The 26,153-nt window shown below is 36.8% G+C and overlaps 1 protein-coding gene across 9 annotated transcripts in view, besides 1 other annotated feature; it reads left to right on the top strand.

Moving 5' to 3' along the window:
• The window catches only part of SLAIN1 (SLAIN motif family member 1), a 66,543-nt gene that overhangs the window by 21,662 nt on the left and 18,728 nt on the right, over positions 1 to 26,153 (top strand). For 2 of the 9 annotated variants that reach the window (NM_001411026.1, NM_001366665.1), the window contains exons 2-4: positions 184 to 323; positions 23,668 to 23,817; positions 24,935 to 25,084. In NM_001411026.1, the coding sequence (NP_001397955.1) occupies positions 184 to 323; positions 23,668 to 23,817; positions 24,935 to 25,084 (440 nt within the window). Of the gene's footprint in view, positions 1 to 183; positions 324 to 21,870; positions 22,093 to 23,667; positions 23,818 to 24,934; positions 25,169 to 26,153 lie in introns of those variants that run through there. The other 7 variants (NM_001366666.1, NM_001242869.2, NM_001242868.2 and 4 more) reach the window with 4 other exon arrangements.
• Positions 4,811 to 4,940: an enhancer, noted in NCBI's record as "active region_7846". NCBI's record gives its function as "activates an Ori minimal core promoter by ATAC-STARR-seq in GM12878 lymphoblastoid cells {active_cell/tissue: GM12878}" and the evidence as "EXISTENCE:reporter gene assay evidence [ECO:0000049][PMID:35858748]".

A 26,153-nucleotide genomic window follows, 5' to 3' on the forward strand; every position in this document is an offset into this window, starting at 1 on the left:
CTACAGGAAGTGTCATATTCTATTTGGGGATATTTGCCTGTTAAAAACTATTTCTGATACTTTGAAGTCATCAAATATGAGTTCTGTTTCTATGGAAATTGTTAAATACATGTTGCTTTCCCCAGAGAGAGGTACTCTCTGTATACCTATATCATACCTATAATGTAGATTTCTTTTTTTAAGGTTATACATTGGCTCTTCAAAGACGTTCACCTCATCAGAGAAATCCCTGACTCCTTTGCAGTGGTGTAGACATGTCCTAGATAACCCAACTCCTGAGATGGAAGCAGCGAGACGTTCCCTGTGCTTTAGACTGGAGCAAGGTAATTGTGAGTGTGTGCATTTACATTCTCCAACTCTTGTCACTCTCAGTGCTGCTTTTGTTGCTGGTTTTGGAATAAACATTTCAATTGAAAATTCTTACCCTGAGGTGCAGCTGTTGCATGCAATTTGCTTCACATGTATTACACATCAAGCTTTCTCAATGTAAGATGTGTTTAGTTTTGTGCTTGATTTTAGCCATATTTTTAGTTTGCTTTAGTTCATATTGCAATGTAGGAACACACAAATTTATTTCTTTTTTTTTTCTGTTTGCAAATATACCAGTCAAAAAAATTGTCAGTTATCAGTGCTCTGGGGTCAGTAACAAGGTTGTGTGGCTGTTTTCTAAGGCAGAAAACAGGATTTCATGGGGATCTGAGTACTGACCTTACTGAGTGTCTTTAACATTTAGTTGGATGTATAACTGGAAGTGCTAACCTTTAAAAACTAAGAAATCTTCATATTGTCTGTAACATTAATTAACTTATGGAGCCTAACAGAAGTTTAAATTTAAAAAAAGGGCAGTTGGAAAAACAGCAAAAATGAATGAGTGGTACTCAGTTCCTTGCTATTTGATGCAGGGAACTACTTGAAGCTGTAATTATGTAGGCTTTTGGCTTGTCTCTTAACCTCTGGGCATCTGTTTGATCCTCTGGGAACACTGTTTCTATTCCATGGACCACCTGCATCCAAATCATACATGAGCTTCAAAGTACAGATTCCGGAGCCTCCAGATTAAAGAATGATACTGTTTGAGGGTAGAGTCAGGGGAGTCTGCATTGAGAAGTTCACCAGTGTGATTCTCATGTACACTGATATTTGAGAACGCTGCCCATGAAGCTCTTTGAGGATAATGAATAACATGTTTGGACATAAGACAAAGCATTATAGATAATGCTTCAAGAGCTCTTAATTCTATGACATTCATTACCTTTACATTCTTGACATCCTTCATCTTATTCAGTGTAACTGAACTCATCTTTAGAGGTGAGAAATACGAAGTTTAGAGAAGTTCCCAGGGTTACAAGGCAGAATGATACTCAGGGACAGAGTCAGAGCCAGGGTCTCTCTGAAACCAGAGTCTCCATACTTAATTAGTATTCTGTACTGCCGTATTGGCATGGTCATAAGTAAATATCAACAGAAATCTGTTAAATACTCGGAAGGTGGGATGAAAGAATGTATTTTATTAACATTTTAACTGAAATGAAACAGGTGACTTAATAATGGAAAGTTGAAGAGCAGTGTAGGGACAAAGGCATGTTAGGGTTAAAACTTTGGTGATAGATGCTCATCTAACAGAGCAGCCATCTCAGAGTCGGAGGCTGTAGTATTCATTCTGTTCCCATTTACCTAAGTGACTCGAAGAAAACTGATACGGTTTGGCTCTGTGTTCCCAGCCAAATCTCATCTCCATTTGTAATCCTCACATGTAGAGGGAGGCACCTGGTGGGAGGTGACTGGATCATGGGGGCGGTTTCCCCCATGCTGTTCTCATGATAGGGAGTTCTCATGAGAGCTGATGGTGTTAAGTGTGGCACTTCCTCGCTCTTTCACTTTCTCTCTCTCCTGCCACCATGTAAGGATGTGCCTTGCTTCCCCTTTACCTTCCACTATGATTGCAAGTTTTCTGAGGCCTCCCCAGCCATGGGGAACTGTGAATCAATTAAGCCTCCTTTCTTTATAAATTACCCAGTCTCAGGTAGTATCTTTGTAGCAGTGTGAGAACAGACTAATACACAAACCATTAAATCCCTTTGGATTAACTCTTTGAAGGGTTATATAGACCATTCCTAAGCCTCCTTACTTAATCCTTGACTCAGTGACTTATATCTACATTTTAACATACAAATTTGGCTCAATAATTTGAAGTAAAATTCAAATTGAATTCAGAATTAGTCCTTTATCTCAGGGGTCAACAAACTTTTTTTTGAAAGGAGATAGATAGTCAATATTTTAGATTTTGTGGGCTACATAATCTCTGTCATGACTGTTCAACTTAGCCATGCCCAGAAAACAATGATCAATGCAGAAATTAATGAATGAGGATGCATTCCAATATAACTTTATTTACAAGCCCTGACATTTGAATTTTGTGTGGTTTTTCACGTGTCACAAAATGTATATATTTTTCCCAATTATTAAAAAAATATGAAAACATTTCTTAGCTGGTGAATTATTACAAAAGCAGGAGTGGGCTGGATTTGGGGTACTCTCGGCCACAGTTTACCCACCCCGGCATTAAGTCATTTGCACACTAGATAGATTTACATACATATAAGCATTATGTCATTTGCACACTAGATACATTTACATATAAGGTTAGGTTTTTTTTTCTTTTCTAAAAAGTAATCCTAATTGGTGGTTGCTATTGAGATATTAGACTAAGTGCTTCATTATCCGATTTTCCTTTCATTGATGTGGAGCTCAGGCAGAATCGTGAGGTCATGAGGATAGGAACTGGCATACTGCAGTTTTGTTCATGATGTAATTTATTTAAACTTCCTGTAAAAGTTTAGAGAACGAGTTTTTCAAAACCAAAATTAGTCTTTTACTTAATTTGTATATAAACTCAAAACTTCTTTTGCTGTGACACTAAATGTTTTTATTCCAGAGATCCATAATCCATAATCCTGTTGAGATAAGAAGTAACCAATTAGGTTGTTTACTGGAGAAAATTCTTTTTTAAAAAATTCAACTTATATTTTATAAAATATAGTTTAAAAAATAGTCTTACAACTGTTATAAGACAAATATCAAATTGCTGCCCCAATCTCTCATGCCCTTTTTATTTCCCAGATATACTTAAGAAAAGCTATTTGTTTTGGTTTTACTGTTTACCTCTCTTTTTAAATTCCATGTTTATATGGCCATTGCTTTGAATTTTTTCATTTTAAACATTATCCATTGGCTTTTGACTTTGGATGGTGAAGATTTAATTCTTTTACACCTCACTTCTATATTTTTTCTCTGCATGTCCTTTCTATGTAACCTTTTACTACCTTTAGGGGACATCAGTATATATTATGATAGAAAGTTATATTCAAGCCATGCAATATTTTATCATTTCTTTTTCCATCTAACTTTTTTGTTTTTGAGACAGATTCTTGCTCTGTGCCCAGGCTGGAGTGCAGTGGTGTAATCTCAGCACACTGCAACATCTGCCTCCTGGGTTCAAGGGATTCTCTGGCCTCAGCCTCCTGAGTAGCTGGGATTACAGGTACACGCAACCACGCCTGGCTAATTTTTGTATTTTTTAATAGAGATGTGGTTTCACCATGTTGGCCAGGCTGGTCTTGAATGCCTGATCTCAGGTAGTCCACCTACCTTGGCCTCCCAAAGTGCTGAGATTACAGGCGTGAGCCACTGTGCCCAGCCCATCTAACATTTTTTTTCAGAATTAATTGGAAAAAGACACCTAGTTTTGTTGTTGTTGTTGCTGTTATAATTTATAAGACAGGGTCCTTGTCATTAATTTATCCCCAAACTCTCTTGATGAACCATCCGCAGTATGAGACACATAAATCCAAGAATTTTGTTTTGTTACTGTTCCTTCAGGCAGCGCCCTATTCTCTTACTCTACTTGGAACTAGTCATCTTTAGCCTCTGAAGAGCCATCATGGTGGGACTTTCTTTTGCTTATCCTGGGAATTTCTCTGGCCCCTCTTCAGTGCTATATTACCTGCTTCTGAGATACAAGTACTTTCCTTTCTATTCCATTAAAAGAAACGAATATTTCTGCATTTGCTTTTTTGGGAGAGTAGAGGGAAAAAGGATATGTGGCAGGTAAATTTTGAGAACCTCCTGTGTTTCAAAACATCTTTATTCCTACTTTCACTCTTATGCAGGATTGTTATTTGGGTTAGGTATAGAATTCTAGGTTAAAAACCATTTCCCACAGAGTTTAGAAGGCATTATTCCATTATATTTTAGCTTCGGGGTTGCTGTTGAAGTTCAGCACCGTTCTTATTTCTGATTCTTATTTGTGACCTTTCTACCTAAAATAACATGAATATTTTAGAATATTGTCTTTTATTCTTGGTATTCTGAAATTTCATTTATTTTGTGTGTGCTATAAACTTTAGTTCTGCAAAATTTCTTGCATTATTTCTTTGTATTCGTAGCCCTCCGCCCTTGTTTTCTCTATTCTTTCTAGATACTTCTGTGGGTCAGAATCGCCTAGATTGATGTTCAAATTTTATATTTTTCTCTCTGGCTTTCTATTCTTGATTTTGTTGCTGTTGTTCTACTTTTTTGGAGATTAAAAAAAAAAAAAAACACATCTTCTAAACTCTACTGCTGCATATTGAGTGACTTCTATGTACCAGGTACCATTGTAGGTGATGGAGATGCATCAGTGAACAGCACAGGTATTAAGTCTCTGCCCTCATTGAGCTCACCTTCTGGTATTCAGATTTTCACTTAGTCCTCCAGATCTGTAAGGTATTTTTATTTGTGTTTGTAAAATCTAGTGGCTTTCTATTTCAGTTTATTCAGGTAATGAAGCCTGTCTTTGATCAAAGTAGGAGAGGAGCAGTTGCCTGAGCAGGCGGGGTGGGGAGCTGGAGGGTTTAGGTGCTTTCCTATAGATTTTCAGTCACCTGGTTTTTTTCACTTCACCACAAAACTCCCTACCCTCTGTGGTACTTCGCACCTACGATTCCAGAACCTTGCTAGGTCCTTATTAGTTTCTTTTTGCTGTAAGGCCATAGAACAGAGGATGTCAAAACCCAAGTCTCTTCCGCTTTTCATTTCTAAGATGTTGTGACCATCCCGAGTGTGATAATTGTCTCCTGTCCCGTTCAGTCTTCCTATGGCTTTATAAGAGTTTGAGTTTAACTCTTACTGTAGTGTGGTTTTATAAGAGAATAGGGAGGAATTCATAGTTAATCCCCCATATTGAAGAATACTTACTGGCTTCCAATTAAGGGGGTCCTTTGTCAATGATGGTTAATTGACAGATATCAAAAATTATGGTTTTGACCCACACTTTATTCATAACATAAAGATTTAATTGGAATAATGCGAGCTTTCCATATTTTTGGTTTCAATAATTCTCTAATAAAGCATTTTTCTTTTTTTTATTATACTTTAAGTTTTAGGGTACATGTGCATGATGGGCAGGTTTGTTACATATGTATACATGTGCCATGTTGGTGTGCTGCACCCAGTAACTCGTCATTTTATTTTTCTTTTTGCTTAGACTTAATTTCTCCCTTGGGCAGTCCGCATTTTTGAGTAACAGATATTACTGAGTGTTTTCTTTGAGACTAGAGTTGTTTCTTTTCATTTGAATATAAATTGCCCAAGGGAATGGACTTTGTTTTGTTGAGCACCAGTTCTCTAATTCCTAGAAGGGTACCTGACACAAAATAGATGCTGTTGCTAAAGTAAATGAATGTTTTTTTGAGCCCAATGTAACTATTACTACTGTTTCAGTTTTGGTGTTGAATAATTTAAGATGGGTCGGGGTCCTTGCAACATTTTCCTTATTAGCCACCTCTTATATTCAGGGCATAGACTAGCATCAGTTGAAGTATCAGCTTGCAGTATTGCTTTCCCATTCACAAGCATGTTTACTCTAAAACAGTCACTTTCTACTTATCTTACACACTTTGTTGCAAAGTGATTAATTGAAGTCCTTAGGAGTTATACATCTCCCTCTGTATACACAGAAATTAAAGACACTTCACTAAGAAATTCACAGCCATGAGTAGGAGTGATGAGAGGTAAACAAAGGGTAAAGCTACCCTCTCCTTTTCACCCTCTTCCTCTCTGCATTATGCTTTTGTCTCTCATACTCTTAACTCTTTCATTGACAGATAGGTAAAAGTTCCTTAATGTGAGCCTGGAGCTTCAGATGAGATGCTGCTGCTTATGTAATATTTGAGCAAATATTTTCGAAACTTGGTTCCTCTTTTTTGACCTTGATGTTTTGAAAAGAAAATTCTTCAAAAAGTAAAGATTAATTCCTTTGTAGGAAATGTGGAGAGGGGCATAGCTGTGAGGAGCCAGAATGTTTCTGGTGGGCAGAGCTGGTCTTAAACCCTCTTCTACCTTATTTCCTCTTTACCCTAGGCCGTTAGCCCAGTCTGTTTTCTTGGCTGCAAGTTAGCCACGGTGGTAAGTTAGCCGTCCCTCCTTGTTTATGGAGTAAGCATCCCCAGGAAGCCATCTGAGTAAGGGTTTGTCAAGGTTGGTTTCTGTAGGTCCATCTGGCTGCATTTCTCCCAAGATTGTCTCTAACTGCACAATTGCTAATGAGCTTATTTGTACTGTAACTTCTTGCAGGGCCCAGGCCTATTTCTCTTCTTGCTGCCTACATTTGTGATTTCATAGATTCCTCAAAAAGCTTTCATGATGTATCTGACAACTTTTGACCCTGGACCTAGATAACAAAACTTGCTAAGTTATGAGAGAATGTATGGGACACAGTTAAGCTTTGTCTTGAGATTGTGAGAACAAGCTTATTAGAATTCTGCCCTTCTGCAGAAAGTTTTTTTTTCTGAAGAAAATGAAGGAAAGGGATTTTTATAAGATTTAATTTTGTAGGGAGACAGCACCTGCATTATCACTGTTTTTAAAATATTGCTAAAAAATACGTTGTCTTCACAACCACAATTTTGCAAATGGTTAAATATTTTTTAAAAGATATAATAAGATAGTTATTTTTAGTGCATATAGTATATTCCTACAGATGACTAATATGTATCTAATACCCCTAATTCTTATAGGGAATATTAATTGACTTGGATCTAAGAAACTTTTTTTTTTAAAGACAGGGTCTTACTCTATTGCCTAGGCTGGAGTGCAGTGACGCAACCACGGCTCACTGCAGCCTTGACCTCCCTGGGCTCAGGTGACCCTCCCACCTTAGCTTCCCAAGTAGCTGGGACTGCAGATGTATGCCACCATACCTGGCAAATTTTTTGCAGGGTCAGGATTTTGCCATGTTGCCCAGGCTGATATTGAACTCCTGGGCTCAAGCAATCTGCCCACCTGGCCTCCCTGTGCTGGGATTATAGGCATGAGCCACTGTGCTTGGCCCTAAGAAACTTTTTATTATAAATTGCAAAACTTACTATCCTCTTTTCCAAGCTGATCTTTTAATATTCAGATTTTACAATTTATAAAGTCTTGTGTATCATGTAGTCAGCACAGTCAAGTTACTTAAGTTTTCTCAGCCTCTTTTACATTTGTATTTATTTTGTAGTGTTGTTATAAGGAAATAGATATTTGTAAATTAGATGAGATAATGGCTCAAATATTAGGTGTCTCCCCCTTATATGTGAATAGTGTAAATGGCTTTTTTGGATAATTTACAGAAAGTAATGTTAAAAGTGAAATAACATTGCTGGAAATTAAAATCTCCTGGCATCTCTAAATCTGCAGTCTGTTGGTATAAAGTTAACTAATAAAGCCTAGAATAGAATAATCTTTCTCTTTTTTCCCCCAGAACACTGGCCACTTATTTGAGTATGCAGTCTTCAACAAAGCTCAGTATCTTGGTTGGTTTTCCTCTTTTGAAGATGGTCCTAACGATGTTTGCTTTCTATTTCGAGGCACCCTGTTTTGTGAACTTCTTTTTATTTAGTTGTTAATGTATGTGACTTTTTCCAAATAGATTAAGCATCTGAAGATGGAGGTCTATACCTAAAATTGTTTTTTGAATTGCCAGTGCTTAATAAATTTTTCAGCATGTTTTAAGTACTGAATTTTTTTTGTGTGATTGACTAATTTGAGTATGTTTAAATTTTTTAAGTTGGGCAAAAAAAAAAACAAAACAATTTTCATTGAACATTTGGTGTTGTAAATGGCATCCTACTAGCCAAGCCAAAAAAAAAAAACAAAAACCCTCAAAAAACCAAAACAGAGTGGTGTTCATTAAAGTGTTAGTTCTGAGCGTGGGGGTTTCAGTCTGTTTTGTTCATTGCTGTGACCCTTTCTGTGCCTGGAATAACTCCCATCGCACTGTAGGTGTTGTATGCTAGTTGTTGAAGGAGTGAATATGGTGGAAGTTTTCACCTTAATAGTTATGCCTCATCCCTGCTCCACTGTGATTGAGATGGTTGTCCTTATTTCTAGGGCCTTGCCTAGTAAGTGGGGACATTTAGCAGATTTCACAGGGCTATTTTAGAAAGATTTCTGGAAATATTGGATGTGAAATTACTTCAGAAATGTGGAGTACTACATATACAGAAACATTCCTAATGTACAGATTTTCATTTAGAAATTGAACATAAAATACAGGGAATCCTCTTTGCCTGGCTACTTATACTTCATAGAAAACTAAGTGTGTTTTTGGCAGAGGGTGGGTATCTGTTTTCTCTACCTACAAATACAGGTATTTGTTAGGGATCTTACACTGAAAAATTTTGTAAGTGTAGTTTATTATTCAACATAGAAAATCTACAACAATCTCTTTAGTTGGTTGTTTTTATTTTATTTTTTATTAGATCTGTGTGTATTCCATTTCTAACTCGCCCATCTTTCTAACCCCCCTCTACCCCTTTAGAATAAAAATAACAAAACTGCATAGAACTTTCATGGGTAGGATTAGCTCACTTGATATCCTAAATTGAAATAAGGCTAATCTAGGGTCTTTGGTAAATTCACGCATGAGGCTGGGATGTTAAATAACCAAATAATGATCAAAGGCTTATCTAAGTAATTTGAAACGCCCAAAATGTGGCTCAGTTAATTTGGGGCCAGTTAATAAAAGCTTATCTTGGCTTAAGGTACTTGAATGTCTATAACTATTGAATCAGGACAGGTCACATTTGAGCAGAGTAGGTGTACTTTTCACAAATAGTGGAGGCCTACACAATTATATCCTTGGCTCATGTTTCGCTATGACCATCTGTCATTTCCTCTGGGATTAGATACTAAGGAAATGTGAATAGAAATTACCCCATTCATTGAGTTTTTCTTTTATCTTCATATGGTACCAGTTCCCAATCTTATTTTAGTTGTTATAAAGGAGTGTTAATGTCCAAATTTAGCTGATGAAGAAGAAAGTTGTAGACTAATCCACAGTTCTGCGAGTGACCCTTTCTTTTGTTAAAATCCACACAGATTGAACTGAGACATTAAGCTTATCAAATGTCTGTCTTCTGGAACCTGTCCAGTCTCTCCTTGCTTGGCCCAAGATGTTATCTCCACTAGCTCATATTTCTAGTCTCGAGATGCTCTGTCAAACTTGGAACACAAAATTAAAACTTAGTCTGTGAGGTTCATTTTGGGTAAGCTTTGTAAAGAATTTCTTTTCTCACTGGAAAAACAATCTGGAATCATATTGGAATTTTTGTGCAGAGACAGGGTCTCCTGATACATGCTATCATTCCTGTGTGCTGAAAATGGAAAATGCATTGTCATAGCTGTGGGATTTCATCACATCTTTATGTTGCTTTGCTCTTATGTTCAGAATAGCCCCAGTGCATTTACTTCAGTATTGGCAATGATTTAGTACAGTAACAGATAATAAGGGATTGTGCTTCTATGAAATTTGCAGTTTCAGTCCATTATACCCTACAACCTGATATGTGTTTGCCAAATTTCCTTAAGTAATCCTTTTTTCTTTTGCTAATTTGTACTTGTGTTTCCATGTGTTTTTTTTTCCTTTGGTTTCACTTTGCATTTCTACCATGATTCGAAAAGTGTTTTTCAAAATAAACAATAATGGTTGTTCTGGTGAATTTATTATTGACATGCTATTTTGTTACCTATCTCCACCAAGGAAAAAATAAAACAATAGAGATTCTCCCAAAGTAGTTGTCTACTGCTTTCATACTACTGTGACGGTTGATTAAATTTGACTCTATCATAGTGAAATTCTTTTTTTTTTTTTGGTAGGTGTTGGTACCTGTTTCTTGGGACCTCTACAGAATAGTCAGGTTTAAAGCAAGACTTTCTAGACTCTCTTTTCTGAAACACTGGGGCTTGATCAGATGATTACAATACATGAAATGTGTTGAGTACTTATTAGGTACAGTCAGTGCTAAATACAGGGTGCAGTGGCAAGCAAGATGAGCTCAGTGCCTGGCCTTGGGAACATGCATTCTGATGCAAAAAACAGATGACAAGATAGCAGTTCTTTGTTCTTCCTGTCCCATAAAAGAAGCATAATGATGCGAATGGCAGCCTGACCCAGGGGTATGATCAGAAAATGATTTCCCAAAGACGTGAGGCATCAGCTGGGACCGGAGAGTCAGTGGGAGTTAAGCCAGTAACTCTGTGTGTGTGTGTGTGTGTCCGTGTGTCCATCTGTTCGTCCATCCAACGGGAGGAGGAGGTGAGGAAGAGTGTCCCAGGCCTTTTCTGTCACTAGGATAAGCCATAACTCAAAGAAGAGTCTTTCAGTCTCAGAGACATTGGAGAGGAAGGATAGCAATAGCATGTGGAAAGGCCCTGCAGTGGGACATAATGTGAGGAAACGGCAGGCTGTTGTGGTTGGGGTGTAATGGAGGGAAATGACTCTAAATGAAACTAGAAACTAGACATGTGTGCAGCGTCTTCAGGGCAGTTAAAGATTCTGGATTTTATCTTAAAATGGTTGAAAAACCTTTGAATAATTTTTAGTAAAGGAGTGATGTAACTGAACAGCTAAGCTACAGGATATTACCTGAATTGTCTTAGAAGGCAGAGCCTTTTTTGGAAATCTGGTGAACTGTGGAGAGTGAAATGGTGGTTTTAGAAATTCTTTGGAACATGGGTAAGGTTAGGCTTTAGCAATTTTTAAGGGAGAGTCTTAGATAAACTTGGGAATGTTTTCTTCTTTTTCATTAATATCCCAAATTTCTTATGTGACTAATGTGAGAAATGGTAGATGAAAATGTGGCCAAGTTCTCGTGACACTTAATTTACTTCGGAAACATAAGGGTTTGATTTGTTGATGTTCTCAATTATTTATAATATTTGGGAGCTTTAAACTTCTATATAGTAATAAGTTTAATATATTTGAGTTTTGGAGCTCTTGTCAATTTGTGAGTTTAATTTTTTTCTACTGTCATAGTTGTAAGGTTGTATTTCAAGAAACAGTGTATTTAAATTTACTAGGCTTTTGAAATGCAGATTTGCTGTCATCGGGTGTGTCCTGTACTTGTGTATATGTATTTGCATATGCATGCTCAGTCTGGTCTTCCATTTTTATAGCATTTTCAGATAAATGAAGTTGGATCAGTAAAAGGATACCTGCTGGGAAAACAAGCAATTAAATCATAAGTTTTTTGGTCATTTTTAATTTCTTAGACATATTGAAGGAAGAATGGACAGGGCTAAGAACCAAGCTGCTTCTCTGAAAGTTGGCCAAAGGAATCTACCAAAATGGGATGGAAAATATGAGAGAAGTGAGGGGACAAAAGAAGACAGACCCAGAACCTCTCATGTTTTAACAGGAGTTCTAGAAGCAGGAACGTACTGAACAAAGGAAATAATCAGTAAATAATAGAAGAAAATTTCTTTGACAGATCCTCAGGATGAACTAAGATAGATGAAAAAAAGCCATGCACCTAGATCTCCTGGTTATTGAATTTCAGATTTTCCAGAATTAAAGATAAACTATTCCTTCATTTGAACATTATTGGGAGTTTATCTATAGTATAACAAATTTCAGACATTTTATAAGTAATATTGGATGCTAGATAAAAAATTAATATTGTCTTTAAAGTTTTAAGGAAGAAAGTTATTTTCAAACTATAATCCTGTACCGAAGCAAATAAGTGTAGGAGCAAAAGAAACTTTTGCTTATGCAAAGTCTGGATTTTATCTTAAAATGGTTGAAAGTTTTACCCTTTGTGCACCCTATTTTAACAGTGGGAAACGTACAAGGAAAAAAGATCACATGAGATCTAGAAAACAGTAGCCTCGGAGATGACCTAGGAGAAGCTGAGAAAGATGAAGATGAAATAAGACAGTGATTGACTCTCAGGCTTGTGATGTTCTTCACCTGGTAGTTGTGTTCTAGAGCAGAAAAATTACTTTCTTTACCTTGGTCCTGTCGTATCTAGTGATCACCTTATAGCTATCCCAATCACAGCTATAAAACAGAATGAAAATCCAGTAAACCTTGACAGTGTAAAAATAGAACTGTCAAATCTGGAGATGGATACGGAGAAGGTGCATATATACTAAATAACCTTTCATGGTGGGAAATCAGATACCAACAAGGCGATGATTGGATTTTCTATTGTCTATTTAAAGTTATATACTAATTATGTAATTGTATTGAAATTATGAAAAACAAAGTGGAAAGTGGGCCTGGGTGGGGAAGGAAAAGAGACTCCTGTTTTAGGCCTTTAATGTATATTTTAGTGTTGTTTTGTGTGCAGGTATTTTAATAAAATCATGAATGGGTTAGTTTTAGGGCCAAAGATAGTTTTCCCTTGGTCAGAACTCTGAATTTGTATATTTACTTTCTATCGTCTCTTAAGATTAGTGGGTCAGAGGCCTTTTCTGTTACTGGGATAAGCCATAACTCAAAGAAGAGTCTTTTAGTATCAGAGACACTGGGGAGGAAGGATTATACAAATTCTCTTCTCATCACTCTTCCATTCAATAACTGACAGTGCTTTCTAAAAGCTTGGATTTGCCACCACACTTTACCCAGTCATAGGCGTGAAGACTCTTAGTAAAAATCTAGTCTGTCCTTTCAGAGGGAGGGCCCTCTGTTTTCAGCATGAGATTATTTAGCCTATTTCTTCATGTAATTAGATTCTGTAACATATTGCTTACCTTACCTCATGATTTCAGTGTAGAACCTGTAAGTTATTCTAGCTGGTTGTCAGCTTGCATTGTGGCTGTAGTCTAAATTGGAAGCAGCCGTCTGTAATCTGTTTGACAACATCTCATCGTTGCCAAATTATTAGATCAGTCTTCTTCTTTGTTCTTTTAAGATTAAATTATTAAGTTTGATTTAAACTATAGCAGACACACAGACCTAAAGGGAAAATGGCTTCTATAAAAGGGAATTTTTAAACATGCCTTTGAAGTGTAATTACTACTACATTTTTTTTTTTTAAATCTCCACTATTAATTGCAGATGGGAAGTCAGAAGATGACTTGTGAAGTTGTAGCAGTCACTCTGGTCCTGGATAATACTGGATTTGATCTGGTGTGCTTAAAGCTGTTGTCTTATCTTCAGTTTTGACCAATGATTAAGTGGAAACAAGTTGATAGTCAAGATAACTTCCCCTTTCTGACCTTTATGTTTCAGCTCTACTTTGAGACTGTTGTCCTGGTTAAAGAAGTCCCGCAGAAGGATCCGATAATAGTCATGAGGGAAGAGCATTAGATGTGTGATCGTGCAGTGGGTTAAGATCTGAGAAGTAGATAAGGTCTAATCCTTTAATTATGATTAGATGCCTTATCCATTAAGATTATGTTTCCTATTAAAACCTAAGAAACACTTGACCTTTTAAACTTAGTGTCAAGAATAATTATAAAACTCTGATTTCCGTGGAATAAATGTTATTCAGTAGTACTCCTTATGCAACATGGTGGAATTTGTAACTCTCATTCAACAAATATTTATGAAACATTTACCTGCCAATTGTCAGGAGTATACAACTGCTTTGTTACTTTTGAACTGAATATATTTTAAAGCTTAATCCTAATATCAAAAGTGATTTTCTTCATTAACTCTGCATATTAATTACATATGAACTAATGAACTCTTGCATTGGGTATTTCTTAAAGATGGTATATAAATCATGTTTTAAAAATATTACATTTTGAGTAAAATTGGAAGTTTAAAGATTGAGTATCTGTAGTATCCTGGTATCATAGGTACTCATACATATATATGATGGTTAATGATTTTTAAGTTATTACATTCATTGTCATAGTTTGAATGAATGGGAACTGCAGGAAAAGATACAAACTAACTTTCTGATAAGTTTTTCATAGCTAAATTTGAAGACTGTGAGACTTGGGTATAATGACTAACTTACTTTGATTGAATCGTCCCTAAGACTACCAATTAGGTGCATTTAGTAGTTCTTCAACCCTTCTTATGTAAATACACTGACAAATACATTACAGTTGAATTCTCTGTATTTCATGCATGTCTGGGAAGGAGTACTGTGAACATCTGCTTCAAAGTAGTAGGACTTCCTAGACCCCATATGCTTGTTTATCAGGTCGTCAAGCACTGTGGAGAAACTAATGCTACTCAAGTTTACCCAATAAAAAATATTGGATCAGATAAGCTGCAAGCCATATGTTACTGCTCCAGAAGGGTTGCTCAGGTTGGAGCCAAGTCAGCAGCACTTACCTACTGTGAACTTACAGCCTTTCCAGAAAGCTTGTATCTCAGTCTGTGCAGACAGAGTTTATGAGAGTGAACCAGTAAATTGCTGTCTTCACCTTGGTTTTTGAATTCTTTTGTTAAAGTTTAGTGTAAACATTTGAGCACATCTGTGTGCCAAGGATTTCTATAGGCTCTAAATACGTAAAGATATAATATCACCTAAGAAGTTTATACCTGAGAGGATGGTTTATGGAAATGGAGATTTTCCTGCCCTGGTGGTTTATGGGTTTGGGTCAGAATGCTGTGTTCTCGGTAAAACTCCCTGCCAATTTAAGGGAGAATAAAAAATTCTTAAAGGAGCTGATGTTTCCTTTACCTTCACTGATCTTAGGCCATTCGGTAACTGGTATTTATAAAGGACTAGAAGTTGGATTCCTCTGTTTGGCTTGGAACTGAGGCTTGCATGCCTGTTGTATAAAGAAAGAAAAAAGCAGGATTTGCTTCACTTACTTTTTCCTTATTTTCCAGAACTCTGGTAATGAACATCATTAAGAGTCAAGATAAATAAGTAAGAACTGTTGACCTATCCTGACCAAGCTTTTGAAGGTCAGACAGTTCAGTTTTGCTTCTGAGTTGGTAACAACTGAGCAAAGACTAAGTCGCCATAGTTGTCTAGGTAGATACAGTGTAAGAAGCCGGCCCATTGTTTTGAGAAGACTAGGTTACACTTCTTTAGAATCAGGAAAAGTGAAAAGTAGAAAACTCCTACAGAATCTTTTCTCCTACCTAGCTTCTAGAACATTTTCTTTCAGAATGTAGAATGTTGGCTGGGCGGTGGCTCACACTTGTAATCCCAGCACTTTTGGAGGCTGAGGCGGATGGATCACCTGAGGTCAGGAGTTTGAGACCAGCCTGACCAATATGGTGAAACCCCCTCTCTACTAAAAATACATAAAACAGCCAGGTGTAGTGGCACATGTCTGTAGTCCCAGCTACTCAGGAGGCTGAGACAGGAGAATTGCTTGAACCTGGGAGGTGGAGGTTTCAGTGAGCTGAGATCGTGCCACTGCACTCCAGCCTGGGTGTCAGAGTGAGACTCAGTCTCAAAATAAAATAAAAATAAATAAATAAATAAATAAAAAAGAATGTAGAATGTTTTTGCTACAACTTGCTATAACATTTCATTAAAAAAAGTATTACCATTTGTGAATGCTTGCTGCAGGCTTTCATCCTGTACCCATGAAAAGCCTGTTTATTTCTTCCTACAAACATAACTTTTTTTCATATGAGAACACTGCAACATTTAAGATGTTATGATTTGCTCCAAATTTCAAAGCTAGTATGTGGCAGGATGAAGACTGGAACTCGGGCATCTGAATTCTTACTGAAGTGTCCTTTCAGTCTTTTCTTGGTCTTTATTACAATATGTTATGGAAAACTGTAGTGAAGAAGTATCCTGTCAGCCATCACTGCTGTGTCTCAACACCTGATGCTATGGTTCCAGCCCTGCACGTTTTTCTGAGTGACTATTATAAAACTGGTAATATATGTTAGCCCGGGGTTGACACACTATGGCCATATCTGTTTTTCTGCCTGTTCTGTATGGCCTAAGAGCATTTAAAATGTAAAATGTTAAATGCCTTTTATGTTTTTTAATGGTTGAAAAAAACAAGAATATTTCATAACCCATGAATATTAAATTCAATTCTCAGTGTATATAAATTAAGTGTATCTATGCTTCTATAAAACATTTTCATTTCAGTTTTTTCAATAGCTGCTTTCATACCATAATGTCAGCATTGAGCTGGTGTGACAGAAACCCTATGGCCAGCAAAATATCAGCTGGCCCTTTACAGAAAATATTTGACCACTGTTAGTCTGTGGCTGTGCTCTCATTTTGGACACAGCCTTCCAGACCCCATCTAACTCTTCTTCTCAGGACCTTCCCTGTGGTTTCTAAAATCTCCAGTGGAAGATTATCTTCAGTCACTGGGGTGGTTTTTTTTTTCCTCTTAATTATGGTAAATTCCTCTTAATTATGGTAAATTTTTTATTTTGACAACAATATGACTCTCACACAGCCACTCTCAACCTGAACCTGTAAGACATAAATACCCTTTACAGAATGATAAGGCAGGCACACGCTAACATTTTCAATCTCAGCTCTTGTGTTGAGATTAGAATTGTTCCAGAGATATGCTTTTCAGACTGACCCAGGCAGTCACTTTCATGGTTAACCATTTTCCTTGTTTCCAGTAGTGGCCATCCTAGCCTTTTACTACATGAGGTTCTTTATTCCAGCCTCTGGAATAAATATTCTCAGCATATTTATTGCCTGTAACTTACAGATTAAAAAGCCTTAAACTCACCTTCCTCTCCCTCATTCTCTGTATTCTGTCTTTACCTCCCTGTTTCAGAGGAAGTGAGAACCCTCCCTTTCCAAGGCTGTTCCCCCTAGCTAATCTCTGTCCCATTCCTCTCATCTCCAGGAACTTTTTTCCATGCTTTTCTTTTTCCTTAGACTCTTCTCTTGTCTGTTATTTCTAATCTCCAAGTCTCCTTGATCCTAAAAGCCATCCTCCCTTGAGCCTTATACTCCTCAAGCTACAGCCCCCCTCTTTTTTTAAACAACAACAACAACAAAACAACAACAAAAACATTTATAGCCAAATCTCTCTTCAAAGACTTTTTCCTCACCTTATATCTGCCTGACCTGCTAACACTGATTTTTCCTTATGTCTTCTGCTGAATCTGCTCTCATCAGTGGCCTGGTTGTTCTAGCCAGTAGCCTCTTTTTAGTCCTTATCCTACATGCCCTCCCTGAGTAGTTGCCACTATTAACTATTAGCTCCCATGTTGAAACTCTTCTGCATTAGTCTTTTTTTTTTTTTGGTTGGGACTGGATGCATCTTTGAGCCTCTGGAATTCTCCTCCCCAAATTATCTTTCTCAGTTTCCTTTACTCATTCTCCATCTGTCTACTCTAAATTGTTCCTTCCAGTCCCTTCTCTTTTCCTTGTGTATTTTCTCCTTGGGTGATTTCAATCATGCTTCATCTAACACCTATTTGTTGATGTACCCTGAATCTGTTTGTCTCTCTAGCCCTCTTCCCTGAACTCCAACTCCATACTGGACACAAGCATGTAGGCATTTCCAGTAACCATCTTGAGTTCAACTAATTTTTTTTTTAATCTAAACATGAGTATCTCATGCTCTCCATGTGCGATGGCATCAGTGTCTTAAGAACTAAAGCATTAGCTTCGGTCTCTTTTTTTCCCACTCCCTATATTCATTGGGTTGCCAGATAGCTGCACTTCAGCTCAAATGTGGCTCATTGAACCTATTCTCACCAAATTTTCTGCTTGTGCTTTTGTTCAGGACCTCATGATGTCTCACCAGGTCTATTTACAAGCCTCTTAACTGGTCTCCCAGACATCAGTCTCCATGCCCATTTAGTTCATCATTTCTATGGCTACTTATGTCATCTTCATAAAATGTAATCTGATTATGTCTTTCACCTTCTCACAGTCAAAACACTAACTGTTCATTAAAGTATAAACTGTTCATTAATGTGTATAGATATGAGACAGTGCAAAACCCAAACCTACCAACCTCTCCAGCCCTAACTCTTCTCTTATACCCTATGCTTTAGTCCAAACGTTTGCCATTCCCTGATTGTACACTGCTCTTTCATGTGTTCTTGGTTTCATATGCATTACTTCTATTTAGAATGGTATCATATCCTGTGAGATAAGCTCCTCAACCTTCAAGGGCCACATTAAACTTAATGTCTCCTGAAGTGTTTAGATTCCCCCAGAAAGTTAATCATTGCTTTTACTTTGCTCTGAGTGTACTCCTTATGGTGCTTTTACTGCACTTACAATATGACATCATATTCCACCTTACTTGCCTGTCTTCTGTAGTAGCTGGTCTTTAGAAACTGGAGTGGGAAGGAGAGGAGAACAGTCACCATATCTTATTCATGTCAGCACCTGGGGCATCTGATATGCTATAGCCACAATAGTTAGTGCCTATTCAAATGAATAGAGAAATGAATTTTTAAAAGTGGGTGGGAGTATAGGGGCCAGGCAGACTTCTCGGAATGACTGTGGAGCAGGGAAATGCCACATGCTGTGTGTATCTGTGGAAGATATTTAGGTAACTGCTTGGAGACTGACCTTTGAAGTTTTTTAGTATCTGTTGCCAAATGTTGATTAAAGGAATGACTCTAGATGTTGTAAACGTTGGGCATCTGAATCATTCTGGAGCACTACACACACACCCACACACACACACACATATACACATACATATATACATATACATATATATACACATATATACATATACATATATATATATTTTTTTCTCAGGTACACGGCATTACTTATGAAGATTTAAATAAAAAGTTGGCCAGTTCCACAAGGCAGAACCTGGGTTAGGGAATGAGGGAGAATATAAATTTGGCTAGCTGGGAAGACAGCCATGAGCATGGATACAAAACCATGACTTATTTAGAAAATAGGCTGTGAATTTTAGTGAAACAGACCTAAAGTTTGCTGCTAATGAGTTTTTATTGGGTTTGCTAGGTATTAAGCCTAGCTATTAAGCCCAGCATGCATTAAGTATTTTTCCTAATGCTGTCCCTCCTCCTACCATGGATGGAGCTAGAAGCCATTATCCTCAGCAAACTAACGCAGAACAGAAAACCAAACACTGCATGTTCTCACTTATAAGTGGGAGCTGAACAGTGAGAAGATATGGACACAGGGAGGGCTTGTTTTCTAGAATAACTTCTGCCTGATGAGAAATGTGGCTCTCCTGTTAGAACTCACTAGAAAGAGTGAGGGTCCTGACCTCCAGGGCTTCCTCACCTAACTGAAACCAAGCCAGATGCCGTGTACAGTAGAATGTATCGAAATGCTACCAAACGGCCCAAACAGAATTGCAGCCGTTTTGTAACTCTTTCTTGGATTGCAGGAAATGGCAGCATTTCCAGAATTCGGTGGCAGCTTTGTTGCCTTCTTGCATGGTTTTCCACCGGTTAGTGTGCTTGGCATAATCCTTCCTTTTAACTGTGCGATGCAGTGCTGTAGGAACTAACTCATCTTAGTGTCACCTGTTTAACCACTTTTCCATGTTTGTTACCCCAGTCACACAGATCCTAGGCCTTAGTAATATAACATCATTTAGTTGGAAACCGGAAGATTGATATAAAATTCAGCAACTTAGTAGTTACTAGAAAGTATTAATGAAGTGCTTCTCCAGGTATATTTTTCACCGAGATTTTAGCTGGTTTGAAACATCTAATTAGACTATTATGTGTCTTCAGAGTTAACAGAATTATACTTAAGTTTAAAAAATTGGGCAAAGTAATTTATATGTCAGGATAGGAGTGGTAGAATGGTTTGAGATAAGGAAATATTAGTCAACTTGCCAAAATTTTGACCACATTTAGCATTTATTGAGTGCATACTGTGTTCCAAGTCTTATATTAGGTACTGAAATGACTGTAGTGAGAAGAATGAAAAGGATTGTTGCCAGAATATGTTATAGTGTTGCTTTATTTTTGAACTCTTTAGTTTAATGCACTACCGACCTTTTGAGTCTTCTAAGATATTAAATCAGTTTTTTCTTTTATGTGAATTAAGTAATTGCTTTCTTAAATTTGATTTTGATTATGTGTAGAGACATGTCTATTTAACAACAATTTGAATACTTTGAGTCTAAGCAAAGATGATCAAGCAATGGTAGGAATGTCATTGTTTCTGGGAACTTTTTGTTGGTCACAGAATAATTTTCAGTGTGACAAATTAAAGAAACTTAGGTTGTTCCTTAAACCCATTCTGTCGTCTGCCTTTTTATGATTTTCTTGATTTTATCACGGGAGCATTTATCGAATCTAGTTTTTTTGGTCATACTTTGCTTAATGGTATACAAAAATAACTACACAGATGTGTTATAACTTATCTTTTCAGTCAAGCAACTTTGAAAATGTACAAAAAATAAGAGACCGTTAGTCACCCTCAACTTATATTTTTGAAAAAAAATGAGGTATCAGTCTACAATTTAGTACTTTATCACATTCATTCAGTAGAAGATGATTGTCAGACAAGGGAGGTGAAGTATAAAGTTTAACCAATAAGGGTGCATCCTTAGGGTAGCTTCAGAGACACTGTAGAGGTGGGCATGAGATAAATGACAGTCTGTAAGGGTGGTAGTGAAATGAGCTGAAGTACCTTTAAGGTCTTGCATTTGATGAAAAGCCCCTGCGGTACTTTAATTGATGAGAGTAACACAGTTAAAATACATGACATTCAGAACAGGTTTGCTCAGGGCAGTGTTGGTGGCTGGAAGTTTGTTGAAGAGCAGGTTGCAGTAATCTGGTGAGAGGTGGTGAGTGGTTAAGGAAGTTGCGGTAGAACTACAGAGATTATGCAGAAAGAAGTGTCCTGGGAGGCAGTTTAGCTTAAGGCATTTGGGAAAGAAAACTGTGCCAAGTATCGTACATTGATTCAGTGTGTAGTCCTGTTTGGGGCCAGTTCGATGCTATTCTAGGGATTGGAATAAAATGAAAAAATGCATAGTCTATGCCACTTCCAAGTTTGCGAACCGCCCCCCCCCCCTTTTTTTATAAATAGAACTCTGGAGTAGGAGTATAGGGAAATTTAACTGTTGTTCAAAAATGGATCACCCATTTTTTCTCTTTTGGCAAAATTGCCTCACTCCTTTCTTTAGAGCTATTTCGGTCATCACTGAGCCTCTTGAATCATTTCACATCATTTTATATACCAAAAATCCACTGAGATAATTGGTTGAAAAAGATAAAATTGCTCTTTTTTACAAGTTCTTTTTGTTTGTTTTATTCTTTATAAAAGTGCTTCCTGTTACAATTCTTTAGCTATGTACTGAAGAACAACTAGGATGTGATAGCTTCCACTCCTGTCCTCCTCCTCCTCCACTGTAACCTTGGGCACTAGTGGAGCATTATTGTTTTGTTAGCCTGCCTTTACAATAATTTTCCTCCCCTTTCTGAAAAGCTTCAATGCTAAACAACAATGTAGAGCATTCTTTCTTGCAATAGACGCTAATTGTGTTCCTAGTTGGGATCTTGCTGTCATAGCCACAATAACTGTGTCAATTGTGCAGGGAGGCTGGGTCACAGTGGTTATTGTGCAGAGTGATGAATGCTGCTTACTTGTGATGTGCTGCCGCCCGCATCTGTGGGTGAGAACACGCAGTTACTGTAATTTGCCTGGCAAGTGATCAGACTGGTATAAAATAACATCATCTGTTAGGCAAGATAGCAGTCACAAAGAACTATTGGTCTTTTAAAATATAGAATTTTTAATGAGAAACTTTGAATAATAGAGATTGAACATGTGAGAACAGCTACCTAGTGTGTGTTGCATTATTAACCCCTAGTTTGTAGTGTATTCTGGAGTCAAGTTGACCTACATAGAAGAGAAGGAACTGGAAGTGCATGTCTGTGTTCTGGCTCCGATTGGGAAAAGCTGCTTAACCACTGTAAGTTACGGGTTGGATAAGTGACATATACGACTGGTGTCAATTGGCAACCAGGCTTCACAGTTTCATGAAATGTGTGGATTCTGAAAGTGTTGTCATTGCGAATGTGGTTTCCTTGCCTAGTTCTTCCACATACTTAAGGAAAAGATATTTTTAATGTAATTGTTAGAATGTGTTGGTACGTAATGATTCTGAAGTAAAAGGAATTTTTTTTTTTTTTTTTTTAAGTAAACTTGGTGTTTTGCAAGGATCTGAAGAATCCCAGTTTGGAGCTGATTATTTTCTTGACTGTCCACATCCCACAGTTTTTTTTTTTTCTCTCCATCCCACTGCCCATTTTAAAGCACTTTTCAGCTGTCTGATTGCTCATTAGCATTGCTCATTAAAAGTGGTCTGGGGGCATGCATTTCAAAGCAGTCCTTTTAATACTTGGTTTTTCAAGTTTTGTCAAATTCCCAGTGAATACAAACCAAGTTATTTCTTGAAGTTTAGCCTTGTTTATATTTTTTATATTATTCCTTCTGCTTAGTACATGTCTAAATGATTACTTTTCAGAAAAGTGAATTTTGCTTAGCGCATTGATTTGTATCTCATGAGAGGAGAGTAAATCATGTTTGGTGTGACTTAAGCTTTTATGATTTGGGATTTGTGTGTGTGTGTGTGTGTGACCCCAAGAACATGGAGATACAAGGGGTGGTAATTTTGGAGGGGAGAAGTACATTAATTAGACAAGTGAGGTAATGTAAGAATGAGATCATCTGCCCATGGCTGGTGTAATTCCTTTTTGTTCATTATATTAATTTAAAAAATAATATTAAAGTAATAACATGTATATTCCTACCTTGAAAAGCTAGTTATATAAATAATATGTATGTTTAATGCAGATAATTTGGAAGTTTTTTTTAAAGAAAAAATCCGAGTGATCACCAATAGTCTCTGTACCGGATAGTCATTGTTAAGCTCTGGTATAGACACCCCTCTGTTACTCTGTACACTGTTTTTCCTTTAAACCTTGTTTTGGTCTCAAGGCCATTTGGAAACACAATAGTCATTCTAAGTCCTCCCATAATCCAATACTGAATTTACATAAAATGTTTTTTATCAACATTTTCTGATATTAACTGAGTAGAAAAAATATAGAATTACATATAGTTAATATTAAGAACATTTCCCTTAATTCCTAAAGATTAGGAAGATTATAAACTTGAGTTTTTCTTTTGACACTAATCCTTTTTTATATTGCAAAACACTAAATCCTTATGTGGAAATAGAAAATTGAAAACATTTCTAACGTAGAAACTCAAAATAAATTTTCATTATTATACAGGCATGTTGGCTTTAATCAAAGTAAGATTGATTTACTTTTTAAAAATGGATGTATAAATAGGACCCTAATTCACAAATTGTTTATTTTGTATATATTTTTTATTTAGATAAGTGGAAGTCAGTTAAGATAGTCCTATGAAAAGTTGCTTTGTCTTTTTTTTTTTTTTTATTCTCTTCCCTTTCTCCTTCTGACAAGTCAACATATGCTTCCATATAGCTAACTGCTGCTATTTTCTGCTTCTGTGACAGCTAGCCGATGGCGGAGTCTCTTCTCTTCAACTGCCTCACTGGCTTTTCCTTATAGTCCTGTTGCAAGACTCAGCCCTTATAGCAATGGCATTAATACTCCCAGCTTCTCTAAAACCTCAAATAAAGCAATACTAACACCTGAAAAAACAGGTAATATTTTAACTTCTTGACTAGCTGCTTGCTTTGTAATTCAGTTACTAAACACGGCTTAAATATTCATCTTTCATTTGAAAAGCTTGAGAATAATCTTAAGAGTGGAGAGTTTGTGCTGCACACTTACTTTGGGTACAAAAGGCCTAGCACTAATTTGTACTCTAACACCATTGATCTACTGCTCTCAATTTTATGTAGCAGACAGTCTTCCCTCTTTAGCAAAAGTATATGCATGCAGTTCTGTATTTCCAAATGCTTATGTGCTTTTAAAATTAAATGTCAAACACAATTAAGGTAGTTTTTATTATTCAAGATTGTAAGTCTGTATTTTTTTTAATTTTTTTCTGGTAGCTTTTAAATTTAGCTAAGGCTGTGTAGAAGAAAATAGTCATAGTGGCTTTTTATGAGATGAGGATCTCACCATTTTCTTATTTTTCTCAGCATTGGTATGATTCCATTCCTATAGCCTTCTTCTATTTGTTCTTTGGTTCTTTTATCTGAAGCCATTGATTTTTTTATCCTCATGGGTGGCTATAAGTCTCCCGTGACTACTCTCTGGTCTATATTATGTGGGTGTTGTATATATTTCTGCATATGTATGTGTGCCTTTTAGATGTGATATTCTTACCCATTTGTAGCACTGCTGTTTGTACTCATTAAGAAATGGACCAGATTAAAATTTAATTTAAAAATATATTATCAGTTACTGTCAGACAAGTGTGTCTTATTATTAAAGTATACATGAATATATATTCTTATAATATCATGCCTTTAGATATATACATATCTAATAGGATGTAGATTTTAGCAGTAGTGAATTTTTTATTGTGATAAAAAATATAATGTGAAATCTACCCTCTTAACAATTTAAGTATATAGTACATGGTGACTTTTTAAATTGTGAAAATTCAATTTGAAAACAATGAACAAGTGGTTTTGTATATATGAATTGTGTACACATGATGTGCACGTTGACCATTAAATGGTGACATGTTGGTGATTTTTGTAACATGAAAACATGAGACAAATTGCTGACTGTTTATATATGAATTGTGAAGCATGTATAGATATCAGTCCTGCAGATGGAAGAACACACTTTTCCTTTGTGTTTCAGGTTACACTTCCAGGGGCTCCCCACTCAGTCCCCAGTCATCTATCGACAGTGAGCTGAGTACTTCAGAATTGGAGGATGATTCTATCTCCATGGGATATAAATTACAGGACCTCACTGATGTTCAGATCATGGCTCGTCTGCAAGAAGAAAGTATGTGTTCTTTCTAAACTAGCAAAATGAGGCTTCCACTTGGAATATACAGGCAGAGGGGGAGGTTCAGGCATTTCTCTCCAGGTAATGGGCAAATAATTAGATTCTTTCTCTCATACTGTCCTACTTTTTAGGTGGAGCCAGTTATATGCTTCTCACACTATCATGAGGTGGTAGGACTTAGTCTGATGAAAACACATTGATACATGGACATTGCTGGTATTGTCACTGTGGAAACAGATGGACAGTTTCCTAAAAAACTAAAGGTGCAACTTCCATGTGGCCCAGCAAACTGCACTCTTGGATATTTATCCCAGAATAGTGGAAATTCGTGTTTACACAAAAACTTGCACGTGAATGTTCTGAGCACCTTTATAGCCCAAAACTGGAATTAGCTTAGAAGGCCTTCAGTGGGTAAATGATTAAACCAATCATGTTACATCTATACCATGGAGTATAACTCATCAATAAAGAGGAACAAACTACTGATATACACAACATCTTGCTTGAAGCTCCAGGGAATCATGGTGAATAAAAAATTTGATCATAAGAGAGTGCATACTGTATAATTCCACACATATAACATTTTGAGATGACAAAATGTTAGGAACAGAGGACAGACTAGTGGTTGGTGGAGTTAGGTATAGGGCTTAGGGTCTCAAGAGGGTCTCGAAGCTGGATGTAGTTATAAAAGGGCAACACAGGATTTTTGCAGTGTTGGTACTATTCATTGGTGGATCTTTGAACCTGTAGGTAATGAAATTGCATACAGCTTAATACTCTCTCTATCTCTTTCTGACACAGACACACACACACCCCCACACACCTGCGATAATCTGAATAAAATGAGTGGATTATATCACTGCCAATACCCTGGCTGTCATATTATTATAATTTTGCACAATGTTACCACTGGGGGAAACTGGGCAAAGTGTACAGTTTTGTTTTTTTTTAAGCACTGCATGTGAGTCTACAGTTATCTTAAAATTTCAGTTAAAATGCATTGACATACTTCTCCAGGTAAATAATTGTGAAAGAGTAGATAAGTAGAAATAGGATAGTTTTTCAC

Source organism: Homo sapiens, chromosome 13 (genome assembly GCF_000001405.40).
Source record: "Homo sapiens chromosome 13, GRCh38.p14 Primary Assembly".
NCBI lineage: Eukaryota > Metazoa > Chordata > Mammalia > Primates > Hominidae > Homo > Homo sapiens.